General features: G+C 40.9%; 1 protein-coding gene across 10 annotated transcripts in view, besides 1 other annotated feature; it reads left to right on the top strand.

Annotated features, from left to right (window-relative positions):
* ECPAS (Ecm29 proteasome adaptor and scaffold) overlaps positions 1-26,028 on the top strand; it is a 123,699-nt gene that overhangs the window by 2,049 nt on the left and 95,622 nt on the right. For 4 of the 10 annotated variants that reach the window (NM_001364929.1, XM_005251853.4, NM_001364930.1 and 1 more), the window contains exon 2: positions 9,335-9,438. The exons of the other annotated variants lie outside the window; for them this stretch is intronic. In NM_001364929.1, coding sequence (NP_001351858.1) covers positions 9,417-9,438 — 22 coding nt within the window. In that variant the 5' untranslated portion in view covers positions 9,335-9,416. The remainder of the gene's footprint in view (positions 1-9,334; positions 9,439-26,028) is intronic. 10 annotated transcript variants of the gene reach the window in all.
* Positions 11,087-11,586: an enhancer, noted in NCBI's record as "H3K4me1 hESC enhancer chr9:114233029-114233528 (GRCh37/hg19 assembly coordinates)". NCBI's record gives its function as "activates a minimal SCP1, AML or CMV promoter by ChIP-STARR-seq in naive H9 embryonic stem cells {active_cell/tissue: H9 hESC(naive)}" and the evidence as "EXISTENCE:reporter gene assay evidence [ECO:0000049][PMID:30033119]".

Genomic DNA, 26,028 nt, shown 5'->3' with positions numbered 1-26,028 from the left:
TTGACACAGAACTGGTGGAGCAGGAGTACTGTTTGCTTTTTTTGAAGCTGAAGTAAACACTTGGTGTGATCCTGAGCAGATTGGAGAGTCGGAGGAGACAAGGTCTCATGGTGCGATTAGAGAGAGAAGCGGGCTACAGATTGCTCTTCTGTCGGTTCCACGTGGAAGCACCACCAGGCCTTCTGAGATCAGTTCCATGTTTTGTTTTAATTGGAAGAAAAGTACACATACCATAAAATTTCCCGTCCTAGCCATTTTTTAAGTGTACAGTTCAGTGGGATTGAGTACATTCACACTGTTGTGTAATCATCACCACCATCCATTTCCAGAACTCTTCGTCTTGTAAAACGGAAACTTGATACCCATTAAACAACAAATCCTCATTCCCTCCTCCCTTCGGCCCCTGGCGACCATCATTGTACTTTCTGTCCCTGTGATTTTGAGTATTCTTCCTACCTCGTGTGAATGGAATCATACAGAATTTGTGACTGGTTTTATCTTTATTTAGCATAATGTCCTCAAGGTTCATCCATGTTGTTGCGTGTGTCAGAATTTCTTTTCCTTTTAAAGGTTGAATGATATTCCCTTGTATGTATATATCACATTTCCTTGTCCATCTATCTGTCTATGGACACTTGGGTTGCTTCCACATTTTAGCTATTGGGAATAATGCTGTTGTGAACATGGGTGTACAGATACCCCTTTGAGACCTTGCTTTCAGTTCTTTTGGGTACATACCCAGAAATGTAATTGCTGGATCATGTGATAGTTCTAGTTTTAAATTTTTAAGGAACCACTGTACTGTTTTCTTTTTTCTTTTTTTTTTCTTGAGACCAAGTCTTGCTCTGTCGCCCAGACTGGAGTGCAGTGGCGCGATCTCCGCTCACTGTAAGCTCCGCCTCCCAGGTTCACGCCATTCTTATGCCTCAGCCCTCCGAGTAGCTGGGACTGCAGGCGCCCGCCACCACGCCCGGCTAATTTTTTGTATTTTTAGTAGAGACGGGGTTTCACTGTGTTAGCCAAGATGGTCTTGATCTCCTGACCTTGTGATCTGCTGTGATCCACCCGCCTCGGCCTCCCAAAGTGCTGGGATTACAGGCGTGAGCCACCGCGCCCGGCCCCCACTGTACTGTTTTTGACAGTGGTTGTACCATTTTACATTACCACCAACAATACACAGAGTTCTAATTTCTCTATATCCTGGCCGACACTTATCTATATTGTCAGTAGTAACCATCCTGTTGGGTGTGAGGTGGTCTGATTTTTTTTCAATTGCTATGCTGTATGACATCTGAGTTCCTGTTGTAGAACCAAACACATTAAAGTCTGAATTGATAGCAGGAATGGGAACAAAACTAGAGGAAGAATTGGATATTCTGAAGTGGCTGAAGTATTTGTGTCTATGCAGTGTGCTTCCATACATTCAGGTACTGGTTAAGATGCTGATAGTTAAGGGATTTCCTGGCTCTAGTACCTAATGGAAAGTTAGGAACAAATAATTCCAATCCTTGCCTTCTTCTTGTTTTGTTCAGTTAAATTGTCAGTCATCAGCCACAGATATCGGTGGACTTGGTTTCTGTATTTCTTCAGGAGAGACTGAATACGTTGCAGTTGATACCTTAGAATAATTTAACTTGAAAGCATATACATGTACACTGGTTAAGAAGTTTCATATAAACCACTTTTAGTTTTAGAATGGGTATAATAAAATAGCAGATGCTGATAAAATGTGCTTTTGGCCAGGTGTGGTGGCTCACACCTGTAATCCTAGCACTTTAGGAGGCCGAGATGGGTGGATCACCTGAGGTCAGGAGTTCAAGACCAGGCTGGCCAACATGGTGAAACCCTGTCTCTACTAAAAATACAAAATTTAGCCTGGTGTGGCGGCACGTGCCTGTAGTCCCAGGTACTCAGGAGGCTGAGGCAGGAGAATCACTTGAACCTGTGAGGTGGAAGTTCCAGTGAGCCAAGATTGTGCCGCTGCACTCCAGCCTGGGCAACAGAGCTAGACTCTGTCTCAAAAAAAAAAAAAAAAAAAAAAAGAAAAGGTGCTTTTAAGAATTCCACTAAAAAAAAAGGAGAGAATTATCCAAATATTTTCTATCATTTATGACTAGTAGATGATAGTAAAAGCAAACTACTAGATGCCAGCATTGTTCTCTTCCACTAACATTTTATTGTAAAAAATCTTCAAACACACAGAAAAGTTGAAAGTGAACATTCGTGTACCCACCACTTAGATTCTATCATTGATAGTCAAATAACTTTATCATATTTACTATTATAGCAAACTTTGTCATTTGTCCATCTCAGTAGATTTTTAAAAATTGTTAAAGTTTTTTTTTTTTTTTTTTGAGACGGAGTTTCAGTCTGTCACCCAGGCTGGTGTGCAGTGGCGCGCGATCTCGGCTCACTGCAACCTTTGCCGCCTGGGTTTAAGCAATTCTCCTGCCTTAGCCTCCTGAGTAACTGGGATTACAGGCACCTGTCACTGCGCCCAGCTAATTTTTGCATTTTTAGTAGAGACGAGGTTTCACCATCTTGGCCAGGTTGGTCTTGAACTCCTGACCTCGTGATCCCCCCACCTCAGCCTCCCACAGTGCTGGGATTACAGGCGTGAGCCACCATGCTTGGCCAATTGTTAAACTTTTTTAGTTTTACTTTATTTTTTAAAAAATAGTAGTAAAATACACATAACATAAAATTTACCACCTTAACAATTTTTTTTGTTGTCTTTTTCTGGAGACGGAGTCTTGCTCTGTCGCCCAGGCTGGAGTGGAATGGCGCCATCTTGGCTCACTGCAACCTCCACATCCTGGGTTCAAGTGATTCTTCTGCCTCAGTCTCCCGAGTAGCTGGGATTACAGGTGTGCGCCACCATGCCCGGCTAATTTTTTTTTTGGTAGAGACAGGATTTCACCGTGTTGGCCAGGCTGGTCTCGACCTCCTGACCTCATGATCCGCCCCTCCTGGTCTGCCAAAGTGCTAGAATTAAAGGTGTGAGCCACTGTGCCCTGCCTGCCTTAACAGTTTTTAAGTGTACAGTGGTATTAAGTACTTATTACTCCATCTTTTTTTATGCATTTCAAAGTAAATTGGTGACACCAACACACCTTCCCCCTAAATATTTCAGCACCAGCATTGTTTTAAATGCTTTGTATGTATTATTCCTCAGAATAACCCTGAAAGGTAGGTAACATTATTATTGCTGCTTTATGGAGAGAGAAACAGGCTTCTTAGGTCCCCTGGGTCCTGCAGCTGGAAAGTAGTCCCAGTGTCCTCAGTCTCTAGTATGCACTCACAGCCATCCTTGAGGCCATCTTACCTCTTTGCACCATAGTCAGAGTGTGTATGATGAACAGTTCAAATCAGATGCATTGCCAGATTCTCAGCTAGATGTTACCTTAATCCAACCATTTGACTGTTGTTTATCATTGCTGTTGGGTACAAAAGAGACACCAAAGCCCACCAAAGGAATTACAATACTATTGAGGAAGAGGAAGAATATGTGTAAACAGATAAGTAAGGACCAAAATATGACTGTATGATATGGATAATACTAAAGTAATATCATATGTGATTCCCAGGTCTGTTATTTTGAGATGTGTAGCTGGTAAAACTGCATTTCTATAGATTTCAAATGAACATTTTCTGCCTTGCATTTGAAGTAATTTACGTCATATCAATTTAAATGAAATCTGCAACTTTCAGTTATATCTGCTACCACACTTTGTAGGAGAAGCAAAATTGACTGTTAGGGTTCTCTTTTATTTTATTTATTTATTTATTTGTTTATTATTTTGTTTTTGAGATGGAGTCTCGCACTGTTGTCCAGGCTGGAGTGCCGTGGTGCAATCTCAGATCACTGCAACCTCTGCCTTCTGGGTTCAAGCGATTCTCCTGCCTCAGCCTCCTGAGTAGCTGGGATTACAGGTGTGCGACACTGCGCCTGACTTATTTTTGTATTTTTAGTAGAGACGGGGTTTCACCATGTTGGCCAGGCTGGTCTCGAACTCCTGACCTCGTGATCCACCCACCTCTGCCTCCCAAAGTGCTGGGATTACAGGCGTGAGCCACTGTGTCCGGCCTATTTATTTTTTTTGAGTAATACCATTGAGCATGAAGTTGCCAGAAGGCTGGGTGCGGTGACTCAAGTTTGTAATCCCAGCGCTTTGGGAGGTCGAGGTGGTCAGATCACTTGAGTCCAGGAGTTCGAGACCAGCCTGGGCAACATGGTGAAACCCTGTTACTACAAAAAATATAAAAATTAGCTGGGTGTGTTGGCATGCGCCTGTAGTCCCAGCTACTTGGGAGGCTGAGTGGGGAGGATGGCTTGCACCCAGGAAGTCAAGACTGCAGTGAGCTGAGATCACACCACTGCACTCTAGCCTGGGTGACAAAGCGAGACCTTGTTTCAAAAAAAAAAAAAAAAAAGTTGCCAAAAATAGGCAGGTTAATTTTGGGGTGAGACTTGTTATTGTTAGCATTTGTTATCCTTTCACAAACCTCATGTTTGAGTCAGTGATTATAATAGAAGAATAGTAAAGCTGTTTATTTATTGTGTGTTTACCGTGTGTTCTAATTGTTTTGCATGTATCAACTAATTGAATCCTCAGAACAACCCTGTGAGTTTGGTACTGGTACTGTCTCAGGGGTAGAGCTACCCTCATTAGACAGTTAGGACTTGAACTTAGATTCTCTGATTGCAAAATTTGTATTAATTCTGCCCTACTACTACTGTGTTATTCCTGTCCTGCATGGGAGAATATATAGTTCATAACAAGATCAAAATGGCTTTTTGTGTGTGTGTGTGTGTCTAACTAGTATCCAGAGAGAACCTTCTGTAGTGTATAAAATGTGGCAATCGGGGCCAGGCGCAGTATCCAGAAAGAACCTTCTGTAGTGTATAAGATGTGGCAATCAGGGCTGGAGCGGTGCCTCACACCTGTAATCCCAGCACTCTGGGAGGCCGAGGCTGGGGGATAAGTTGAGAGCAGGAGTTCAAGACCAGCCTGGCCAACATGATGAAACCCCCGTCTCTACTAAAAATACAAAAAAATTAGCCGGGTGTTGGGACGTGCACCTGTAGTCCCAGCTTCTTGGGAGGCTGAGGCAGGAGAATTGCTTGAACCTGGGAACTGGAGGATGCAGTGAGCTGAGAACGCACCACTGCACTCTAGCCTGGGTGACAGAGCTAGACTCCATCTCAAAAAAAAGAAAAAAAAGAAAAAAGGACCAGGCGCGGTGGCTCACGCCTGTAATCCCAGCACTTTGGGAGGCTGAGGCAGGTGGATCACCTGACGTTGGGAGTTCGAGACCAGCCTGACCAACATGGAGAAACCCCATCTCTACTAAAAATACAAAATTAGGCAGACCTGGTGGCGCATGCCTGTAATCCCAGCTACTTGGGAAGCTGAGGTTTAGAGTTCCTGAGGTTTGAGGTCAGGAGTTCAAGACTAGCCTGGCCAACATTGTGAAACCCTGTCTCTACTGAAAATACAAAAATTAGCTGGTTGTGGTGGCACACGCCTGTAGTTCCAGCTACTCAGGAGGCTGAGGCAGGAGAATCACTTGAACCTGGGAGGCAGAGATTGCAGTGAGCCAAGATTGTGCCACTGCACTCCAGCCTGGGTGACAGAGTGAGACTCCCACTTGAACCCGGGAGGCGGAGGTTGTGGTGAGCTGAGATTGCATCATTGCCCTCCAGCCTGGGCAACTAGAGTGAAACTCCATCTCAAAAAAAAAAAAAAAAAAAAAAAATTCTGATGTTACTGAACAGAACATAGTAGATTTTTGGGTATGTTGCCAAAAAAGAAAACCATTAGTTTTGACTGTTAAAGGCAGTTCTGAAATCTAGTTTGTAAATTAGTTTAGGTCAGAGCCTGTAGCTTTCTTTCCTTATGCTTAGAGTGATTATAACTATTGCAAATGAAATGAAATTCAATGCAAGACATGTGGCTAGTTTTTCTGCTAATACTATCTTCTGCCACTTTATGGAAAAGTTGACATTATAGTTAATATTTCAGGAGTGGGTTGAGAGATTTCCAACAGGGAAGGAAGCATTTGAGACTTTTCACCTGGTCAGCTGTTTAGTGGTTTCGTATTCTGGGCTTTATAATTATAAGGCATCCTTAGAATCTGATCTTCGTTGGGATAAAGGCAACTCATGAAGGAGCAACAGCCTATAATCTTGAAGGATGCACTATTCAATTTGACCATTTGACATAGCCATGGGAAACTTCAGTTGCAAAAGTTGGCCAGATAATCAGCATGTCAGGTGTCTTCTGAGAGAGCCTCTGCTAGTGCTGGGAATCCTGGTAGCTCTTTTAGAGGATGAGATTTGGGAAGCTGTGTGTTGAACATGATTCTGTGACCATACTGAAATAGCCCCTAAGAGCTAATTGCTTAAATGACCAGAATACAGGCTTCCAAGCTGATCTTTGTAGAAAGGCCAAGGCAAGCCTGTATCATTTAAATTTTAGTTACTTAACCAAATAGGAAAGTTAAGATGGAAAAATGACCACGGATATTTCTATTTTTTATTAATTTCCATTCTGATTTTTTTACTTTCACTGCATTCTGGGTTTTTTTTTTTTTTGAAACTAGAGTCTCACTCTGTCACTCAGGCTGGAGTACAGAGGCACAATCTTGGCTCATTGCAACCTCTGCCTCCCAGGTTCAAGTGATTCTCCTGTCTCAGCCTCCTGAGTAGCTGGGACTACAAGGCGTGCACCATCACAACTGGCTAATTTTTGTATTTTTAGTACAGATGGGGTTTCACAATGTTGGCCAGGCTGGTCTTGAACTCCTGACCTCAAGTGATCTGCCTGCCTCGGCCTCCCAAAGTGCTGGGATTATTGGCTTGAGCCACTGCACCTGGCCCACCACATTCTGTTTTGAATTATGCTTTCAGTAAACTATAATATGTGATCAAGGCCATTGTCAGTGAGAATAGTTGGCACAGGAGCATTGACCTTGTTCAGAAGATAGATGTTAAAATTGAAGTCACTGCCAGTGTTCTCAGATGGTTTGATCCCTGTTGCTGAGCTCTCGTTTCAGACCTGGCCTTGATGCTTCCCATTTTATATGGCTTGTTTTGCCCATGTATTTTTTCAATTCAATAAGCAGACTTTTAAAATTGAGTAAATAATGTATGGTGCTGTCCTCAGAGGGCTTATAATTCAGTGCAGAGACAGATTTATGTGCAAATGTAAATAACATACACAAAGCACGGTAAGTAAACTGCCTAACACAGTTCTTTGGAAACCTCAAGAAATGAGAATGGTATTTGAGGCTAAAGGAAAAATAGCTTGAGCTGAGACTTGGAGATAGGGAAATATTATGCAAAACAAAAAAAGCTGAGTAAGTCTGTTATGATGGGAATGGGGGTGCTACGGCTGTGTGAAGTACTGGGAAAGGGGATCAGCTGTGTGGTTTGAGACTTGGCCCATGCTGCCTTTATGATTTGAGATCTTGGACAAATTACCTTACCTTTGCAAGTCTCAGTTTCTTCCTCATAAAATTGGAATGACAAGATTCACTCATAGTATTGTTAGGATTAATGTATGTGAAAATGTACTGTGTAAACACTTAAGCTCTTATAAATTATTATTATTTTTGGTGTGGGATGTAATAGCAGATGATGCTGTGGAGATAGGTTGGGACCAGCATGTTGTAGGAATGCCAACAGAACTAGTTTGGACTTTGTTCTGTAGACAGTAGAGAACCATCAGAGCTTTTAAGCAGGAGCGTAACATGAGTAGGTCTGTTTTGTACGGGTAACAGGTGGCATTGGTGTAACACTGATTGCAAGGATCCGGAGATCAAGAGCAGCAAGACTAATTAGGAGGGTATCACAATGGCCAAGTAAAAAGAAACTTAGGGTCTGAGTTGGGACAGTGGAAGTGGATTTGGCAAGGAGTTAATATAATGTAAAATCCCTAAAATAGGGAGAAATTGTTGGCTGACGAGATGAGGGTTGTTGAAGAAGGGAGGAGTTAGAGATGAATCTAAATCTGACCTGAGACTAGAAGGTGGAGGAGTAACAGAGAGTGTAGCCTCTAGACAGATTTAGGAAAGTGAAGGAAAGAGAGAACAGATTCAACAGATAGGTAGTCTGTGTTCAGCAGAAAGATTATTTGTTGAATGAATGGGTTGAATTATTGAGCCCCCATGTTGTTCAGGGAGACTGCTTTGAGTAGTGGCTAAAACCTCTGGAACTGGAATCAGAGACAGTTTTGAATCCTGATTCTGATACTTCTTAATGTGTTCTTGAACAAGGGACCTAACTTGTAGGCCTCGGTTTTCTCATCTGTAAAATGAGATAATAAAACTTACAAGATTTTTTTCTTTTCTTTTCTTTTTTATTGAGACAGGGTCTCTCTCTGTCACCCAGGCTGAAGTACAGTGGTGTGATTTCGGCTCACTGCAGCCACAATTTCCTGGTCTCAATCCATCTTCTGACCTCAGCCTCCTGAGTAGCTGGGACTGCAGGCGGGTACCACCATCCCTGGCTAATTTTTGTATTTTCTGTAGAGACGGGGTTTGGCTATGTTGCCCAGGCTGGTCTCAAATTCCTGTACTCAAGCAATCTGCCCTCCTCGGCCTCTCAGAGTGCTGGGATTACAGGCGTGAGCCACCGTGCCTGGCCAGGATTGTTTTAAGAATGGGAAGAGATAGCACATCTTGGCACATGGATTGCGGGTGTGTGGGAACCTTGGTTCTGAAGCTAGGGAGACAGTGTGGGAATGATTCCCATGGTAGAGCTGTGGGAATGGGCATATTGTTCACAGTCAGCTGACTGGGAGCCACGTGTATACGTATTTAAGAGCGAGAGGAAGATAATCAGAGAAAGGAGATGAAGAGTGCTAAGAGAGGTCAGCGGTGGCCGGGGTTATGTCTGTCAGCCATTTGCGTTCTCATATGTAATGTGCTAAAAACATGTATACATGTTTAGTAACACTTCTTATAAAACTATTATGTAATTGAAACACTTCTAATTAATGTAACAGTTTATATATTTATGATATATATACACACATATACATATATGATAAAATATGTTGCATTGGTATTAGAGATTTTAAGTCTTCAGCAAATGATTATCAGTGTATTTTTTGAAGTATTAGCATGTTCTCAGTAAATTTGGTTTGTGGACATAGGCCTTATTCTTTCTCAAATTTGATAGTCATTATAATTTTTTTTCCTCATACTGAATTTGCAAAGCAGGGCATCAAAGATCTAACAAGAAATGAAAAGTGCTTATTTTTTTCTTAAAATTGTAGCTATGCATATACATCTGTTAATTGTATTTTTTTGGTGTTCTAAATAATAGATTCTTTATACAATTGCATATGTACGAGTGGATGAACGTACCATTGGTGATCCCGAGGATTTTTGTCAAGATTGGATAAACCATGTATCACATTGATTGTAGAGGTTAGTAGATTTAGTTCCTTAGGATGTGTGCATTTTTTTTGTAGCAGCATTTAAAAATGCATAGGTTATCAGGTAGCAATTTCCCCCCAAGATCTTCATGTTTTTTTTTTTTCCTTTTCTAGCTAGCCTGAGAAAATTGGTGAAGTTCATGTTAATTTACAAATGCCTGAAGCCTCTATTCTCTGTAATGCTAAACATAAAAATAATTTGCAAAAAGAAGAAAAAGATAAAACTTGAAGTCTTTTTTTTTTTTTTTGGAGACAGTGTCTCACTCTGTTGTCCAGGCAGGAGTGCAGTGGGGCAGTCATGGCTCATTGTAGCCTTGATCTCCCAAGGCTCAAGTGATCCTCCTGCCTCAGCCCCACCGAGTAGCTGGGACTACAGGTGCATGCCATCACACCTGGCTAATTTTTATATTTTTAGTAGAGATGGGGTTTTGCCATGAAGGCTGGTCTCGAACTCCTGGGCTCAGGCGATCCACCTACCTCAGCCTCCCTTGGAGATGTTATTTAGCACTGTGCACAAGGAAAAGACGATGGGTGATCGTTTACAAACAACTTTGTGTGCCACAATCACAAAAAGTCATTTTACATGCTCGAGGAATGCCATCATGGAGGTTTTTGTTTTTTAAATTTTTTAATTTTTTTTTGAGACAGGGTCTCGCTGTGTCACCCAGACTGGAGTACAGTGGCACAATCATGGCTAACTGCCACCTTGATCTCCTGGGCTCAGGCGATCCTCCCACCTCAGCCTCTCTAGTAGCTGGGACTACATTTTGTTTTATTTTTATTTTTTGACACAGGGTCTTCCTTTGTTGCCCAGGCTAGAGTGCAGTGGCACGATCATGGCTCACTGCAGCCTTGACCTCCTGGGCTCAAGTGGATCCTCCCACCTCAGCCTCCCAAGTAGCTGGGATCATAGTTGTGTGCCACCATGCCTGGCTAATTTTTTTTTTTGGTAGAGACAGAGTCTCTGTGTGTTACCTAGGCTGGTCTGGAACTCCTGAGCTCAAGCTATACTCCTACCTGGGCCCCCCAAAGTGTCATGATTTTAGGTGTGAGCCACCATGCCCAGCCAGTTGTTCTATTTGTGAGAAGAGGTATGAAGGAGGCATCTTCATGGTAATTGGATGTTTCTAATTCTGCCATTTTGTCATGCATTGTGATTTTGAGAAAAGCCATTTAATTCTACTTCATTCTAAGGCAGAATAAGAGTATGGTGTCATTTTCACTCTTGGATGATATCAGATGGTCTTTTGATTGAAACTCTGTAAATTCAGATTGTAATTCTCTGATATCATGGACTCAATATCCAGTGAGTTCCTGGGATTTTGTAGCTTCAATCCAAAAGTGCTTTTTGTTGCTATCTTCTAATTTAACTGTTAGACCCCTTCTCCCCACCCCTCCTATGCATTCTACTATGTTTTGGTATATATATTGCTGCTGATGATACAAAATGTCTTATTCATTTAGGTGAAATTTTGAGGGATGGGATAATTTTAAAACCAGAATTCAACTTTAAAATAAATTTTGGCCTGTTTTTGCTGTTTTCACAAATCTTTATTCCTTGGGCGTTTAGAGAAATGAAAAATTGGGAGATGGGAAGAATTGTTTAGAAGAGCAGTGAGGACATTGTTTCTTCTCTCCTAGATTCTTTAACTCCTAGAGCTTTTGGGCTTGTGATTGATGTGTTAATGTCATTATGATATACTGAAGGCAAAGTGAAGCTACAACTGCTAGGATTTAAATAGTGATTTAAATAAAGAACATTCTAGGGCTTACACACCCATATGAGCATTGTTCTAAGTAATTAGCTGCTTTGGGTGGATCTTAACGATCGTACATTAGACTTTTATGCAGTCTGAACTCTTGCATAGTATATATTATTTCCTCTAAGCTAGCTTTCACAAGCTGAAGTAATCTTTCCTGCTTGTCACCTCCTAAAACCGATTTCTAACTGAGTATCTCTGCCAGCTGCTGTCTCTGGGGGAAAGGGCCTTGTGGACCTCAGTGTTGGGAGTCTAGCACTTACTCATTAAATCTAGGGCTTCTGTCTTGTCACCTGGCCCAGTCTTGCCAAGCTACTCCTATGATTTCCTCCCCTTCCTCTGTGTGTGTGTGTGTGTGTGTGTGTGTGTGTGTGTGTGTGTGGCGGGAGGAGAGGACATGATGGGGTTGTGGGGAAGTGGGTGCGGGGTGGTAAGCAATATGATCAGGGAGGGGTAGCCTTGTTTTGGGCTATGCTGGATTGGCAGGGAGTTTGAAGTAGCCTGGAATCATATGCAAAAGGCTGGGCACAGTGGCTCACGCCTGTAATCCCAGCACTTTGGGAGGCCGAGGCGGGCGGATCACGAGGTCAGGAGTTTGAGACCATCACGGGTAACACAGTGAAACCCCATCTCTACTAAAAATACAAAAAGTTAGCTGGGTGTCGTGGCACATGCCTATAGTCCCCGCTACTCGGGAGGCTGAGGCAGGAGAGTCACTTGAACCCGGGACGGGGAGGTTGTGGTGAGCAGAGATTGCGCCACTGCACTGCAGCCTGGGTGACAGAGCAAGACTTCACTAAAAAAAAAAAAAAGGCCAGGGAAAGAAAGACTCTTTTCCTCTTCCCTGTTTAAAGAGCCTAGCCTGTAGTAGATCCAGATGCAAGGGTTTCCAGATTAGGGTATCTGCCTGGGCCCTTGGGGGACAGACTGGTGGACTAGGGAACAGAAAGATAATCTGTCTGATTGCCTTAATTCTGGGGTGGGCAGAGTTACTAGCAAAGGACTCCATCAGCAGGGACCTCCTGCTCAGGACTTTGTTGCCTGTGAAGGTACTCATTGCCACCTCTTGGGCCCTGGCTGGAGAGAGGCAGCTCCTGCAGGAACCTTGATGGATTGTCTCTTTCTGGTAATGGATCTTCTCCCCACTCCCAACTTATATTTATGTTTTCTGCTAGACTGCCTGACATTCTCCTTTTAAGTACATTTGCATCTGTTGAGTTCTGTAAAAAAGGCTGGGGATGGGGGTAACTCTTTACAAACAGGAGTAGAGATCACATTTCTAGACATTCTTTTTTTTGAGATGGCGTCTTTTTTTTTTTTGAGACAGAGTCTCGCTCTGTCACTCAGGCTGGAGTGCAGTGGCGCGATCTCGGCTCACTGCAAGCTCCACCTCCCGGGTTCACGCCATTCTGCTGCCTCAGCCTCCCGAGTAGCTAGGACTACAGGCGCCCGCCACCATGCCTAGCTAATTTTTGTATTTTTAGTAGAGATGGGGTTTCACTGTGTTAACCAGGGTGGTCTCGATCTCCTGACCTTGTGATCCATCCACCTCGGCCTCCCGAAGTGCTGGGATTACAGGCGTGAGCCACCGCGCCTGGCGGGACGGAGTCTCGTACTGTCGCCTGGGCTAGAGTACAGTGGCTGGATCTCGGCTCACTGCTCCACCTCCCGGGTTCAAATCATTCTCCTGCCTCAGCCTCCCGAGTAGCTGGGATTGCAGGCGCCCGTCACCACGCCCAGCTAATTTTTTGTATGTTTAGTATAGACAGGGTTTCACCATGTTGGCCGGGCTGGTCTCAAATTCACCTGACCTCGTGATTCACCTGCCTTGGCCTCCAAAGTGCTGGGATTACAGGTGTGAGCCACTGCACCCGGCTGCTTTGTTTTTTTGGAGACAGAGTCTCGCTATGTTGCCCAGGCTGGAATGCAGTGGCACAATTTTGGCTTACTGTAACCTCTGCCTCCTGGGTTCAAGTGATTTCTCCTGCCTCAGCCTCCCAAATAGCTGGGATTACGGGGCCTGCCATCACGCTCAGCTAATTAATTCTTAAAGAAGCATCCTGCTGGCCTCATTTGGGTTTTGCCAAGTATTAGCGTGGCTTTTGGGGAATTGAGATGATATTTCAGATAGATGAAGTGGACTTTAACTTCCGGTTAGTATCTGGTTAGATTTATAATTCACAGGATTGATCTACCAGAAAATACTAGTATTACACACAAAATCTAGATGCCAACTAGGGCTTCCTTATTTTTCCATAGTTTTAGCCTCAAACTCCTAATTGTACTGACTGTCAGAGTCCATTCTCTTCCCTACCTTCCAGCCTGATATTTCCAATTTTTGTGAATTCCCTATACTTTAGTTTCTTATTCTTTTCTTAGTTTCTGGGCTCCCACTTCTGAAAATGTTTCAGCTTGGACGTGAAACACACACACACACACGTTTGAGCTTGGACATGAAACACACACACACGCTCGCTCTCTCTCTCTCTCTCTCTCTCTCACTCACTCTCTTTGCCCAGAATTGGTATGTCCTAGGAAAAGGCCTTGTTTTAAGAGTGCTTGATTTTCTGCCCTTTTACTGGTTCACCCCTTCCTCTTCATCTTTTTCTGTTCTCTTCCTTTCCTTCTCTCGGCAGTAACTGCTGCATCTCTGCTGGTTTGGAGTCACGTCGTATACAGTTGTCTAGTAAGATTTAGTATCTTCTCCACCTACTTTCTCGCTTAAACCATGTTATAATTTAGTGTGCTAGAAGGAGCATTGGACTGTCTAGGGTTTGAATCAGCCCTGCCACTTAGTAGTTTTGGAATCTTGGTCAACAGAATGTTTTCAAGGCTCTGTTTCCTCAACTGTAAATTGGAGCTAATACTACTTGCTTTACTAGAAGTTCTTTACAGGCAGGTACTGTGTTCCAGTGTGCGCTTGGAGGGTAAAGCCCTCTCTGGGTTCAGCTTGTTTGTTTTTGTTTTGTTTTGTTTTTTGAGGCTGAGTCTTGTTCTGATGCCCAGGCTGAAGTGCAGTGGCGTGATCTCGGCTCACTGCAACCTCTGCCTCCTGGGTTCAAGCAGTTCTGTCTCATCCTTCCTAGTAGCTGGGACTACAGTCACATGCCACCACGCCTGAGTAATTTTTATATTTTTAATAGAGATGGGGTTTCATCATATTGGTCAGGCTGGTCTTGAACTCCTGACCTCAGGTCCTGGGTTCAGCTTCTGAATCTGTGTATCATTCACATGGTGACCTCTGGCAGGTCAGTTAGGTGGTGAGTCTATAAATGCATCTATAAGTGCACCTCACAACATTTTTCTGAGGCTCAGAAGGCCATGTGAAACTGCTTTGTGACTGTGATGTATTTTATATACTTATATCTGTGAATCAGAAGAAAGTAAATACCATTAGAGAGAATATTTCTTTCTGAAATCGTCTATTATAGTGTAATATATTTCTGTAGTAACTTGATAGATCTTTTAAAAAATATCGTGTGGTGTTAGCGGTGGTCTTAGGTATTTTCAGCTTTCTCTTCAATTTCAGCTTCTACTTAAGACCTCTAACCTGATTTGTATTTTAAAATTTACTTTCATATTCAGGAAAAAAATATTTTTTGTAGAAAATTTAAGCAACCTTAAAAAACCTGAAACCTGTCACTCAGAAATTCACGCAAGTAATTCGTGCTCATGAAGTAAGTTAGTAATGACACATAATTAAACAAACCAGAAAGAATCCTCTGAAATTCAACCAAACAGGGATAACATTGCCTTAAATAGAATCCTTTCTCTATTCCTTTTGATAGTATACTTTTCTTGTATAATTTTAAAGGACTATTTTGATGTTCAGGTTGTCCTGAAAGGAAACTGATTTCTCTTCTCTTCTCTCTTCTCTTCTCTTTTCTCATCTCTTCTTTTTTCTCATCTCTTCTCTTCTTTTTTCTCTTCTCTTTTTTAACATGCTTTTTCCATTAATAATGATGTGAGGGAAAAATAAGTAATTGTAGGTTTATTGTTTTTTCTAGTCCTGTAAGAAAATAGCTTTTCCTCCCTAATTTAGAAGTTAAAGTTGTGTTTTTGAGAGAGATCTGAAGAATGTGCTGAAGTCTTTAAACCTTTACTGGTCGTTTTCTTTTTATGCGGGTAGGAGGAGGGAGTGTTCCTTCTTCGTCTTTAGATAGAGAAACTAAAGACAGGCGAATAAGATAAATTTGAATTATTTAAAGGAAAATAAATGAGCTGGGTGTGGTGGCTCACGCCTGTAATCCCAGCACTTTGGGAGGCTGAAGTGGGAGGATTGCTTGGGCAAAATAGGATGACCTCATCTCTACAAAAAATAAAACAACTAGCTGGGTGCAGTGGCATATGTCTGTGATTCTAGCTACTTCCAAGGCTGAGGTGGAAGAATGGCTTGAGACTGCAATGAGCTGTAACTGCATCACTGCACCTCAGCTTGGGCAACAGCAGAACCCTGTCTCCAAAATAAAAACGTGTGTGTGTGTGTGTGTGTGTGTGTGTGTGTGTGTGTGTATTTAGTTATTTATATTTTTAGTAGATTTTTTTTCCTCCTACAAGAATGTCATAGTTAACATGAGCTAAACTGGATTTTTGTTTTGTTTTGGAATTTTAAGATTCTCAGGGTTTTGATACTTTTCCTTTGAGATCAAATGTTCTTTTTGTTCTTTCTTTTTTTTTATTTTTTGAGACGGAGTCTCGCTCTGTCGCCCAGGCTGGAGTGCAATGGCGCCATCATGGCTCACTGCAACCTCTACCTCCCGGGTTCAAGCGATTCTCCTGCCTCAGCCTCCTGAGTAGCTGGGATTACAGATGCACACCATCATGCCCAGCTAATTTTTGTATTTTTACTAGACATGGGTTTCACCATGTTGGCCTGGCTGGTCTTGAACTCCTGACCTCGTGATCACTTACCTCGGCCTCCCAAAATGCTGGGATTACAGGTGTGAGCCACCGTGCCCTGCCTCTTTTTGTTCTTTCATAGGCTTTAAGGTTCCTTTCAAGCTTCAAAGTTCTGTGATTAAAAATTTTTTTTCTTGTCTTTAAAACATGGATTTTTGATTTTTGAAAAATATTTGCTCTGTATACTTTTTTTTTTTGGGACAGGGTCTTGCTCTGTTACCCGGGCTGGAGTGCAGAGGCATGATCTAGCTCACTGCAGCCTCAACCTCCTGAGCTGAAGCGATTTTCCCACCTCAGCCCCCTGTGTAGCTGGCACTACAGGGACGCACCACCATGCCTGGCTCATTTTTCAATTTTTTGTAGAGATGGGGTCTTGCTGTGTTGCCGAGGCTGGTCTCAAACTCCTGGGCTCCAGTGATTCTTCTGCCTTAGCTTCCCAGAGTGCTGGGATTACAGGAGTGAGCCACTGCATATGCTGGCCTGTATGCTGTTTTTTTCTAATCAAAAAATGTATTTTCACTGAAAAATATTTGAAAAGTATTAAGAAAAATTACTGATGTATTTTCTTTCACTTTTTATATAATTATATCATAAAATAAAATTATCATGGAATATATATATATATATATTCTTTTAAAAATAACGAATTATTTCAACCATGAAGGAAAGTATGGAGAGTAATGTTGACATGGAGTTTTTTTTGCTCTTGTAGCCCAGGCTGCAGTGCAATGGCACGATCTCGGCTCACTGCAACCTCCTTCTCCCAGGTTCAAGCAATTCTCCTGCCTCAACTTCCCGAGTAGCTCGGATTACAGGCGCCCGCCACCATGCCTGGCTAATTTTTTTATTTTAAGTAGAGACAGGGTTTCACCATGTTGGCCAGCCTGGTCTCAAACTCCTGACCTCAGGTGATCCACCCACCTCGGCCTCCCAAAGTGCTGGGATTACAGGCATGAGCCACTGTGCCCGGCCTTGGAGAGTAATCTTATTAACATTTATGTATGTCTGACTCATCTTTGTCAAATTTTTACATTTTCTGCTATCAGCTTCAGGTCTTGTATTTTATTTTAATTAATTAATTTATTTATTTTGAGACAGAGTTTTGCTCTTGTTGCCCAGGTTGGTGTGCAGTGGGATGATTTCGACTCACCACAACCTCCACCTCCCGGGCTTAAGCTATTCTCCTGCCTCAGCCTCCTTGTATTTTTAGTAGAGACGGGGTTTCTCCATTTTGGTCAGGCTGGTCTCAAACTCCCGACCTCAGGTGATCCACTGGCCTTGGCCTCCCAAAGTGCTGGGATTACAAGCGTGAGCCACCACGCCCGGCCTTATTTTATTTTTTTAAAGAAATAAACATTGCAGATGCAATTCAAACCCCCTGTGTTACTCCTTATCATATCATTTTTCTTTTCTTCCCTTTTTTCCTCTCTTTCCTCCTCCCCTCCTTCCCTCTCCCTTTTCATTCAGAGATTGTCATTACTGTGATGTATCGTACCCAATATGTTTTGTGTTTAAAAACTTTCCATAAATGGGACTAAACTGTACATATCCTTCTGCAGCTTATTTTGTTTGATCTTAGATTTTTCAGATATGGTCTTGTTGGCTCATGTAACATGTAATCCTTGTTTATTTATTTCCATCGTTGTGTGACTCTGCATAATTTATTCCTTCTCATGTTGACTGATATTTAGATTGTTTTTATATTTTTGCTTTTACTAATCCTGGGCTGTGAACACTTTCACACATGTGTCCTTGTGCTTGTCTCTTCCTGGGAGAGTTCTTTTTTTTTTTTTTTCTTTTGAGATAGGATCTTGCTCAGTTGCCCATGCTGGAGTGCAGGGACACGATCACAACTCATTGCAGGCTTAAGGGATTCTCCCACCTCAGCCTCTCGAGTACTGAGTAGCTGGGACTACAGGTGCATACCACCATGCCTGGCTAATTTTTTTTTTTTTTTTTGGTAGAGATGGAGTTTTGTCATGTTGCCCAGGCTGGTCTTGAACTCCTGAGCTCAAGCGATCTGACTACCTCAGCCTCCTAAAGTGCTGGGATTAAAGGTGTGAGCCACCACACTCAGCCCCTGGGAGAGTTTTTTTCTAGGACGGTGTTACATAAAGTGTTGTCTGAGCATTAGGGAGTTATTTCTTGCAAATAAGGAACTTGCATCAAAATGTAAATCAACTATCACTGTTAATTTATTTAACACTTCTTATTCTAGAAGCACTTTTTCAATAAAAAGTGTTCCTTATCTCTTTGCTGACTGGTGATAAACAGTTTGTAGATGGGCTTCTTGAATGGCAGAATTGCTAGGTGGAAGGGTATGTTCCTCTTCAACTTTGCTAGAGATGTCTTTACTGCAGAATTGCTCTTCAGAGATTGTATCAATATGTACCCCATCAGTAGTGGACCAGAGTTCTTGGTTTGTTTCCCATCTTTGCCAACATTTGGTACTGTTAGATTTGAATCTTTTTTTTTCTGATGTGTAGTCCATTGTTCTCTGATTCTTAATGGCATTTTTGTCAATCTCAAGTTTTCATGTATTCCCAGTTCTCTTTCTGTGTTCTCTGTTTTAATCTATTGATTTGTCTATTTGCTGACCGGTGCTTTTGTCACACTCAATCTTAATAATTGTCATAGCTTTATAAGTCTTGAAATCTGATTGAGCCACTCCTACTGCACTTTTATGGAAAATTGACAGTTACTCTTGGCTCTTTGCTGTTTCATACTCTGTTCCATTCATATTCCAAAGGAATTTTATAATTTTTTTCAGCTTTCACAAAGCACTCTGTTTTCTGTAGAGAATGTTTGACTGTTGGGGGCTTCCCATCTTTGCAATATTGAGTTTATTTGTGAGCATTAGTGCTGTTTACCAGATATTTCTAGTTCTCTCTTTTGGGCACAAAATAGAATTTAGTGCTGGGGACACAGTGAGAGACATGTGATTCACCACAGAAGTTTCACCACAGAAGGGTTGAATTGAGCCAGAAGGATTGAGGATATGGCACTAACTAGCGGTGTTTGAGATGGTGTTGGCTCTATCAGCCGACTGTAGTGAGCAGAGCCCTCCTCCTGATCTATGACTGAGGCATGGTCTAAGTGAGAAACTAATGTTGGTTGTTTTTAAGCCATGGAAATTTGGGGGTTATTATCACTAACCTATCCTGACATGGAAATCCATGAATGTAGTTGGGTGTGGTGGCTCACACTTGTAGTATCAGCACTTTGGGAGGTTGAGGTGGGTGGATCACCTGAGTGAGGTCAGGAGTTTGAGACCAGCCTGACCAACATGGCGAAACTGCATCTCTACAAAAAATACAAAATTAGCCAGGTGTGGTGGCGCATGCCTGTAATCCCAGCTATTTGGGAGGCTGAGGCAGGAGAATCGCTTGAACCTGGGAGGCAGAAGTTGCAGTGAGCCGAGATTGCACCACTGCACTCCAGCCTTGGTGACAGAGTGAAACTCTGTCTCAAAAAAAAAAAAAAAAAAAAAATTCCATGAATGTTGTGCTTCTCCATTAATTTAGATCTTATGAATTATAGTTAGGATTATAATTTTCTCTGTAAAGGACTATGACATGTTTCATTAGATTTATTTCCAGATAACTTGTAGTTTTATTGCCATTGTTAATTATATGTTTTTAAAAACTACATTGATACTTTGTTCTCATTTATCTCAGTTGACTTCTGTACTCTGATCTTGTATGCAACATAATTAACTTTCTTATTTTACATACCCTATCCCATAAATATCATGTAATCTGTGAATACTGACAGTTTTTAGTATCTCCTACTTCCATATTGCATTTTCTAGCAGTTCCAGTTCAATTTGCTTGGAAGTGATGATAGTGCACATCTTGTTTCTGATTTTGTATGAGATATATTTGCTGTAGATTTTACATAGATGCTTTTTGTCAGATTATGAAAGTTTCTTTCAGTGACGGTTATTTCCAGCTCCACAGTTATAAACTACTCTTTGGGACAGATTCTGCTAATCATATTTTTCAGACTCCCTTACCATCTAGCTTCTTGTTTTAAGATATCTTTTCCTATCTCGAGGTAATGAGAATATTCTTTATTTCTCTAGAAACTTTATTGTTTTACCTTTGACATTTAGATTTATGATCCATCTGGAATTGATTTTCTTTTTGTTTGATGATATGGTTTGGCTCTGTGTCCCCGTCCAAATCTCATCTTGTAGCTCCCATAATTCCCATGTGCTGTGGGAGGGATGCAGTGGGAGATGATTGAATCATGGGAGTGAGTCTTTCCCATGCTGTTCTCGTGATAGCGAGTGGGTCTTAGGAGATCTGATGGTTTCAGAAACGGGAGTTTGCCTGTACAAGCTGTCCCTTTGCCTGCTGCCATCCATGTTAAGATGTGACTTGCTCCTCCTTGCCTTCTGCCATGATTGAAAGGCTTCCCTATCCACATGGAACTGTAGTTCTCCATTAAACCTCTTTCCTTTGTGAATTCTCTAGTCTTGGATATGTCTTTATCAGCATCATGAAAACGGACTAATAGATATGGTGTGAGGTAGGGATTAAATATTGTTCTCCCATATTGGAATACAGTTGATTTAACACCATTTATTGAAAAGACCATCATTTACTCACTACATTGCAGTGACACCTCTGTTTAAACCAGGTGACTATATACCTGTTTGTCTTTTACACATTTTCTATTTTGTTCAAGTGGTCTACTTATTTTTTGTTAGCATAGTATACTTTTAATTACTGTAGTTTTTATTTTATGTGTTTATTTTTTTGAGACAAGGTCTTGCTCTTTTGCTCAGGCTGGAGTGCAGTGGCATGATCTTGGCTCACTGCAACCTCTACCTCCTGGGCTCAAGCAGTTCTCCCACCTAAGCCTCTCAAGTAGCAGGGACTACAGGTGCACGCCACCACGCCCAGCTAAATTTTTTTTTTTTTTTTTGGTAGAGATGGGGTTTCACCATGTTGCCCAGGCTGGTCTCAAACTCCTGAGCTCAAGCAATCAGCCTGCCTTGCCCTCCCACAGTGCTGGGATTACAGGGCTGAGCCACTGTGCCCAGCCTACTGTAGTTAGCCTTGAAATTTGACCAAAGTCTTCTAGCTGTTTTTCCTCTTCAAGATAGTTTTGGCAAATCTTGGTCCTTTGCATTTCTTTAAATTATAGAAAGAATCAACTTTTTTTTTTCTTCTAGTGGTATCCACACATTTAAAGATTATTCATCCACTCATTCATTGATTGAGATAGTTAGTATCTTCCTGTGTTGCCCAGGCTGGCCTGGAACCACTATAGGCTCGAGCCACTGTGCCTGGCTCTAGGATCAGCTTTTTAGTGTTACCCAAGTTATCTGATGGATTGTGCTTGGATTATATTGTCTATAGGTCAATTTGGGGAGAATTGACATCTTATTAATATTTTCTAATCTGTGAATATGGTGTATCTTTTAAGTTTTCCTTAATTTCTTGTAGCGGTGTATTTTAGTTTTCTGTGTAGAGGTCTTACACATTTTTCCCTAGATTAATTCCCAGCTATTCGATGTGTTTTGATGTCATTGTAATAGGTGTTTTCAAATTTTGTTTTCTAATGGTTTATTACTATTATATAGGAAACCAATTGATTTGTGTATTTTGTTATTCTATTAATTTTTCCATAGATTGTTTTGGATTTTTTGTGTACCAATCATTATCTTTAAATAATGAAAATATTATTTCTTCCTTTGTAATCTTAATGCATTTTATTTTTCTTTGTCTTATTGCTCTGAATAAAATTTGCAGTACAAATTTGAATAGAATTGGTAATAGTGAACATCTTTACCTTGTTCCTGAACTCAGAGGAAAAGTGTTTGGTATTTTACCTTTAGATATAATGTTTGCTGTAAGTTTTTATAAAAATCTCTTATCAGATTAAGGAAGTTCTCTTTTCTTCCTTGTCTCTTCAACATGAATAGTTTGTTCCCATCTATTTAGCATGAAGAGATGTTGAATTTGATCAAATGCCTTTTCTGTATATATTGAGATGATCATATGATTGTTATTCTCTATTGTGTTAATGTGGCAGATTACACTGATTTTCAATATTAAACCAACTTTGCATCTTTGGAATAAATCCAATTTTTGTATGATGTATTATCCTTTTTATGTATCGCTGGATTTGACTCATATTTTTTACTTATTTTATGTATTATGATTTAAATATTATTTTATTATCTCATTTGCGTCTATATTCATGAGAAATATCTTTTATTTGCTTTTATCTTTCTGGGGATACCCTTGTTTGGTATCAAGGTTATTCTGGCCTCTTAACATTCAGGGATGTGTTCCCCTGCCATCCCTTTACCCCACCTTTTTCTCTTCTCTGGAAGAAGTTATGAAGGAGAATTTACCAGCGAATTCATAAGGTCCTGCCATTTTTTTGTGTGGGGAGGTTTTTAAATAATACAGTTCATATTTGTGGTAATTTAGAATGAACCAGTTTTTTAAAGCAGAATTTATAATTGTGAGTTGTATCATTGTGGTCTGTCTTTAGAAGTAATTAAAAAAGCCCCTTAAAATCATGTAATTATGACTTTGTACTAAGTTATGCCTCCGTATGATGAGCTCTTGTGTCTCTGAGGTATTGTCACATGGGATTTTTAGCTTTCTGGCCTGGCTCAGTTTTCCTTTGGTGGTAGTAAATGGGGTTATTAACATACCTAGCATAGGATTCCTACTCTAGGTGGGATTCTACTAATAATTCATATTTTGCTCCCAGCTGATGGAATGTGTGTTCTCAAATATTTCGTAGACTTCTGATTTATTAAAATACTTATTTTTGTAGTAGTAGTCAGCTTTATTTAAAAAGGAGGTAAAATTAGCCAAATATGATGGCTCATACCTGTAATTCCAGCACTTTGGGAGTTTGAGGCAGGAGGATCGCTTGAGGCCAGGAGTTCACAAGCAGCCTGGGCAACATAGACCTCATTTCTACAAAAAATACAAAAAAGAAAAAGATAATAATTTCTTCTTGCCACTGAGCTTAAGGGGAAAAAAAAAGAAAAAGGTAAAATTAAAGGAATAATGTATTCTGAGAGATAATTATATACAATATTTATATAACATATGGAAAATATTTTATATCATATATAATTACTCTGCCAAACCTAACCAGTTAAGGGCATAGCCCTCCACTAGACTGAATCGACTTCATATGCCACCTACAAGTTCCTGTTATCCCAGAGCCACCCTCACTTTTGACCTATTGGATACAGATTTGGGGGTCTCCATGGACCCCCTCAGGTTTAATCATTAGCTAGAACGAGTCAGAACTCAGGAAAGCCGTGTATTTATGGTTATGGTTTTATAGAAAAGGATGCAAGTTAAAACCAGCCAAAGGGAGAGACATGTAGGGCAAGGCCTGAGAGGGTTCCAGATGCAAAGCTTGTGTTGTGTCAGGGTACTTTCCCAGTATAGCAATGTGTGATAATACACACAATGCACTGCTGATCATAGAAGCTCACCGGCTCACCTGAACTTTGGTGTCCAGGGTTTTATTGACCAGGTGTGATTGATTGATTGGATCATTGCCCATGTGACTCAATTTCTAACACCCCCCCCACCCTCCTCTCCCTCTCCAACCCTTCCCCTTGTCCACCTCCCCTAATCACCTGGCTGAAAACCTGCAAGATGATTAGTCTTTCTAGTGTGATCAACCCCCATCCTGAGTTATCTCTTAGCGTAAACAATCTGGGGCCCACTATGAGTTACTTCCTCAGTGTAAGTTATCAAATGTGATTAGAGGGTCCCACCATGAATAACAAAGGCACTTCAGTTACTGGGGAAATCCCAAGGGTTTAGTGCTTTCCTCTCAGGAACATGGACAGAGGTCACCTAAATTCTTTATTACACAAGAATATAAAAGCTACATCTGTAATATGATAGCCGTATATAACATTATATAATGTTTCACAACATTCTTATGAAGCAATCTTATGCTGTTCCTAATAGACAAGTTCATTAATAACCTTAGAGAGGTTTAGTTTACTAACTAAAACCAGTAATGTATCTGACATGAAAATATAGGTCCGTTGGCTCCTTTATATCTTAGACTCTCGGAGAGAATCATTAGTTGGGCTTTCACAAGTCTATATTAATAATGTATAGTTTATAAATAATAGCCCATTTAGAATTGTCCCCATAATATATGCAAAGGAGGAATTTTATACTTTTTTAATGTGTGTTTCTCATGTGTGTATGTATATGCACACAAAATCTAGATACTTCTTTTAGCAGAAATTCTCCTTAGTTGGTTGATGTGAAATAAAGGATATTTTCCTAAATCACATTTATAACTGAAGGTTTGGAAAACGTTGTCTGTATATGTTTGTATTTTTTCAGTGATTAGACACTGATATAAATGCTATAGGGGTAGGGGGAAGAAAGGATAGGAGATTTATTTTTTATTTGTTTGACTGTGTGGATTAATGCTGCTGTAAATTTATATTCACTAACCTCAATTGGGTCCTTTACACTTTCTTCACATTTGTAGTTCATTTTACCAGTCAATTTTCTTCTCTTCTTCACTCTGGGGCAAGCCTTTTCCTACCATTGTCACGCTGCCCACTTGCCCTCTGCTCTCCAAATCTCAGAAGAAGACTGTGCCTTCTATTTTACAGAAATAATAGAAACCATCAGAAGGGAATTCTTTCAGGCCCTTCCATAAAATTTATAAGATTGATTTTATCAACAGCAGTCTTCCTGTTTCCCTCCTGTTACAATGGCAGAGATGGCCTTCCTGTCCTATCTAAGGTAATTCCTCAGACCTTGTGCTGAATCCTAATCTCTCCCATATTCTCAGGGTCACAGTCTAATAATTTTTTCCCTCTTCAGTTTCTTTCTCTCTAGTGGCTTTTTCCTTTTGCTATTTAAATGTGCTCAGAGCTCTTATTTGATTGAAATAATGAAAAATAACTGTTCCCCTCCCCTTTCATAACTAAAAGTTTCTAAAGAGTTGTCATTTACTGTATTCCTCACATCCTTTTTAATCTTCCACTGATTCCTCTACCCTGTACAGTCTGCTTTTTTCTCTACCACTTCATTGAAACTGCTTGAGCCAAGGTCAGGTGTGAACTCTATTGCTGAATTAACTGGATTCTTTTCAATTCTTATCTTGCATGATCTTTTTGCATCATTTGAAATGGTTGACTGCTGTCTCCTAGGAAAATCTTTCTTAATTATTCTGACCCCACGTTTTCTTTTTATTTTTGTCTGTTGCCTACCATTCCCTTTTTCAGACTTTCCTTCTCCTGCATTTAAATGCTGTTGTTCGCAAACAGTCTGTCCTAGGCCTTCTGTTATTTTCTTTCTACATGCAGTTATCATATACTTGTGAGGTAAGCCTGGACAACATCCATGCCTCTTCCCTCTCCACTCTTTTTACCCATGACCACCAAGCTCTTACGCATGGTAGAGTTTCAGTAGATACTTGAATGAGTGACCTAGATAGGAGAATGAGTGCTTGACTGTGAAACTGGGAGGGTGCTGGGCCTTGAAGGAGGAGAGAATTTTGATGAGCAGGAAGGAGGAGGAGAAAGGTTGAACTGCAGCTGGTCACATATGGAGTTAGCTTCTTATTCATAGTAGTGAGTTCCCTCTAGTGTTGTTTTCTGACCTTTGAATTTGTATGTTTTTCCATTTTTGTAATAAATACTGCCTGAATGAGACACATTCTAGTGAACGTTTGGATATTCTTTCAAATAAAACTTCCTGTATAAGGTGTAGTATGTACAGTATGTGTACCTGATAGAAAATAGGGTCATTCTTGGAGACAGTTGTATGGTATAGGCAAGGATTTTTAGACTAAAGGTCAGAAGACTCCATTCTTATTCTTACTCTGCTGCTAATTAATCTGTGACCTTGGGCAAGTCCTTAAAACTCACTGTGCTTTTTTACGTTATATAA

This window comes from Homo sapiens, chromosome 9 (assembly GCF_000001405.40).
Source record: "Homo sapiens chromosome 9, GRCh38.p14 Primary Assembly".
Lineage (NCBI taxonomy): Eukaryota > Metazoa > Chordata > Mammalia > Primates > Hominidae > Homo > Homo sapiens.
Note: the sequence above shows the minus strand (reverse complement) of the source record. Positions and strands in the feature narration are given on the sequence as shown.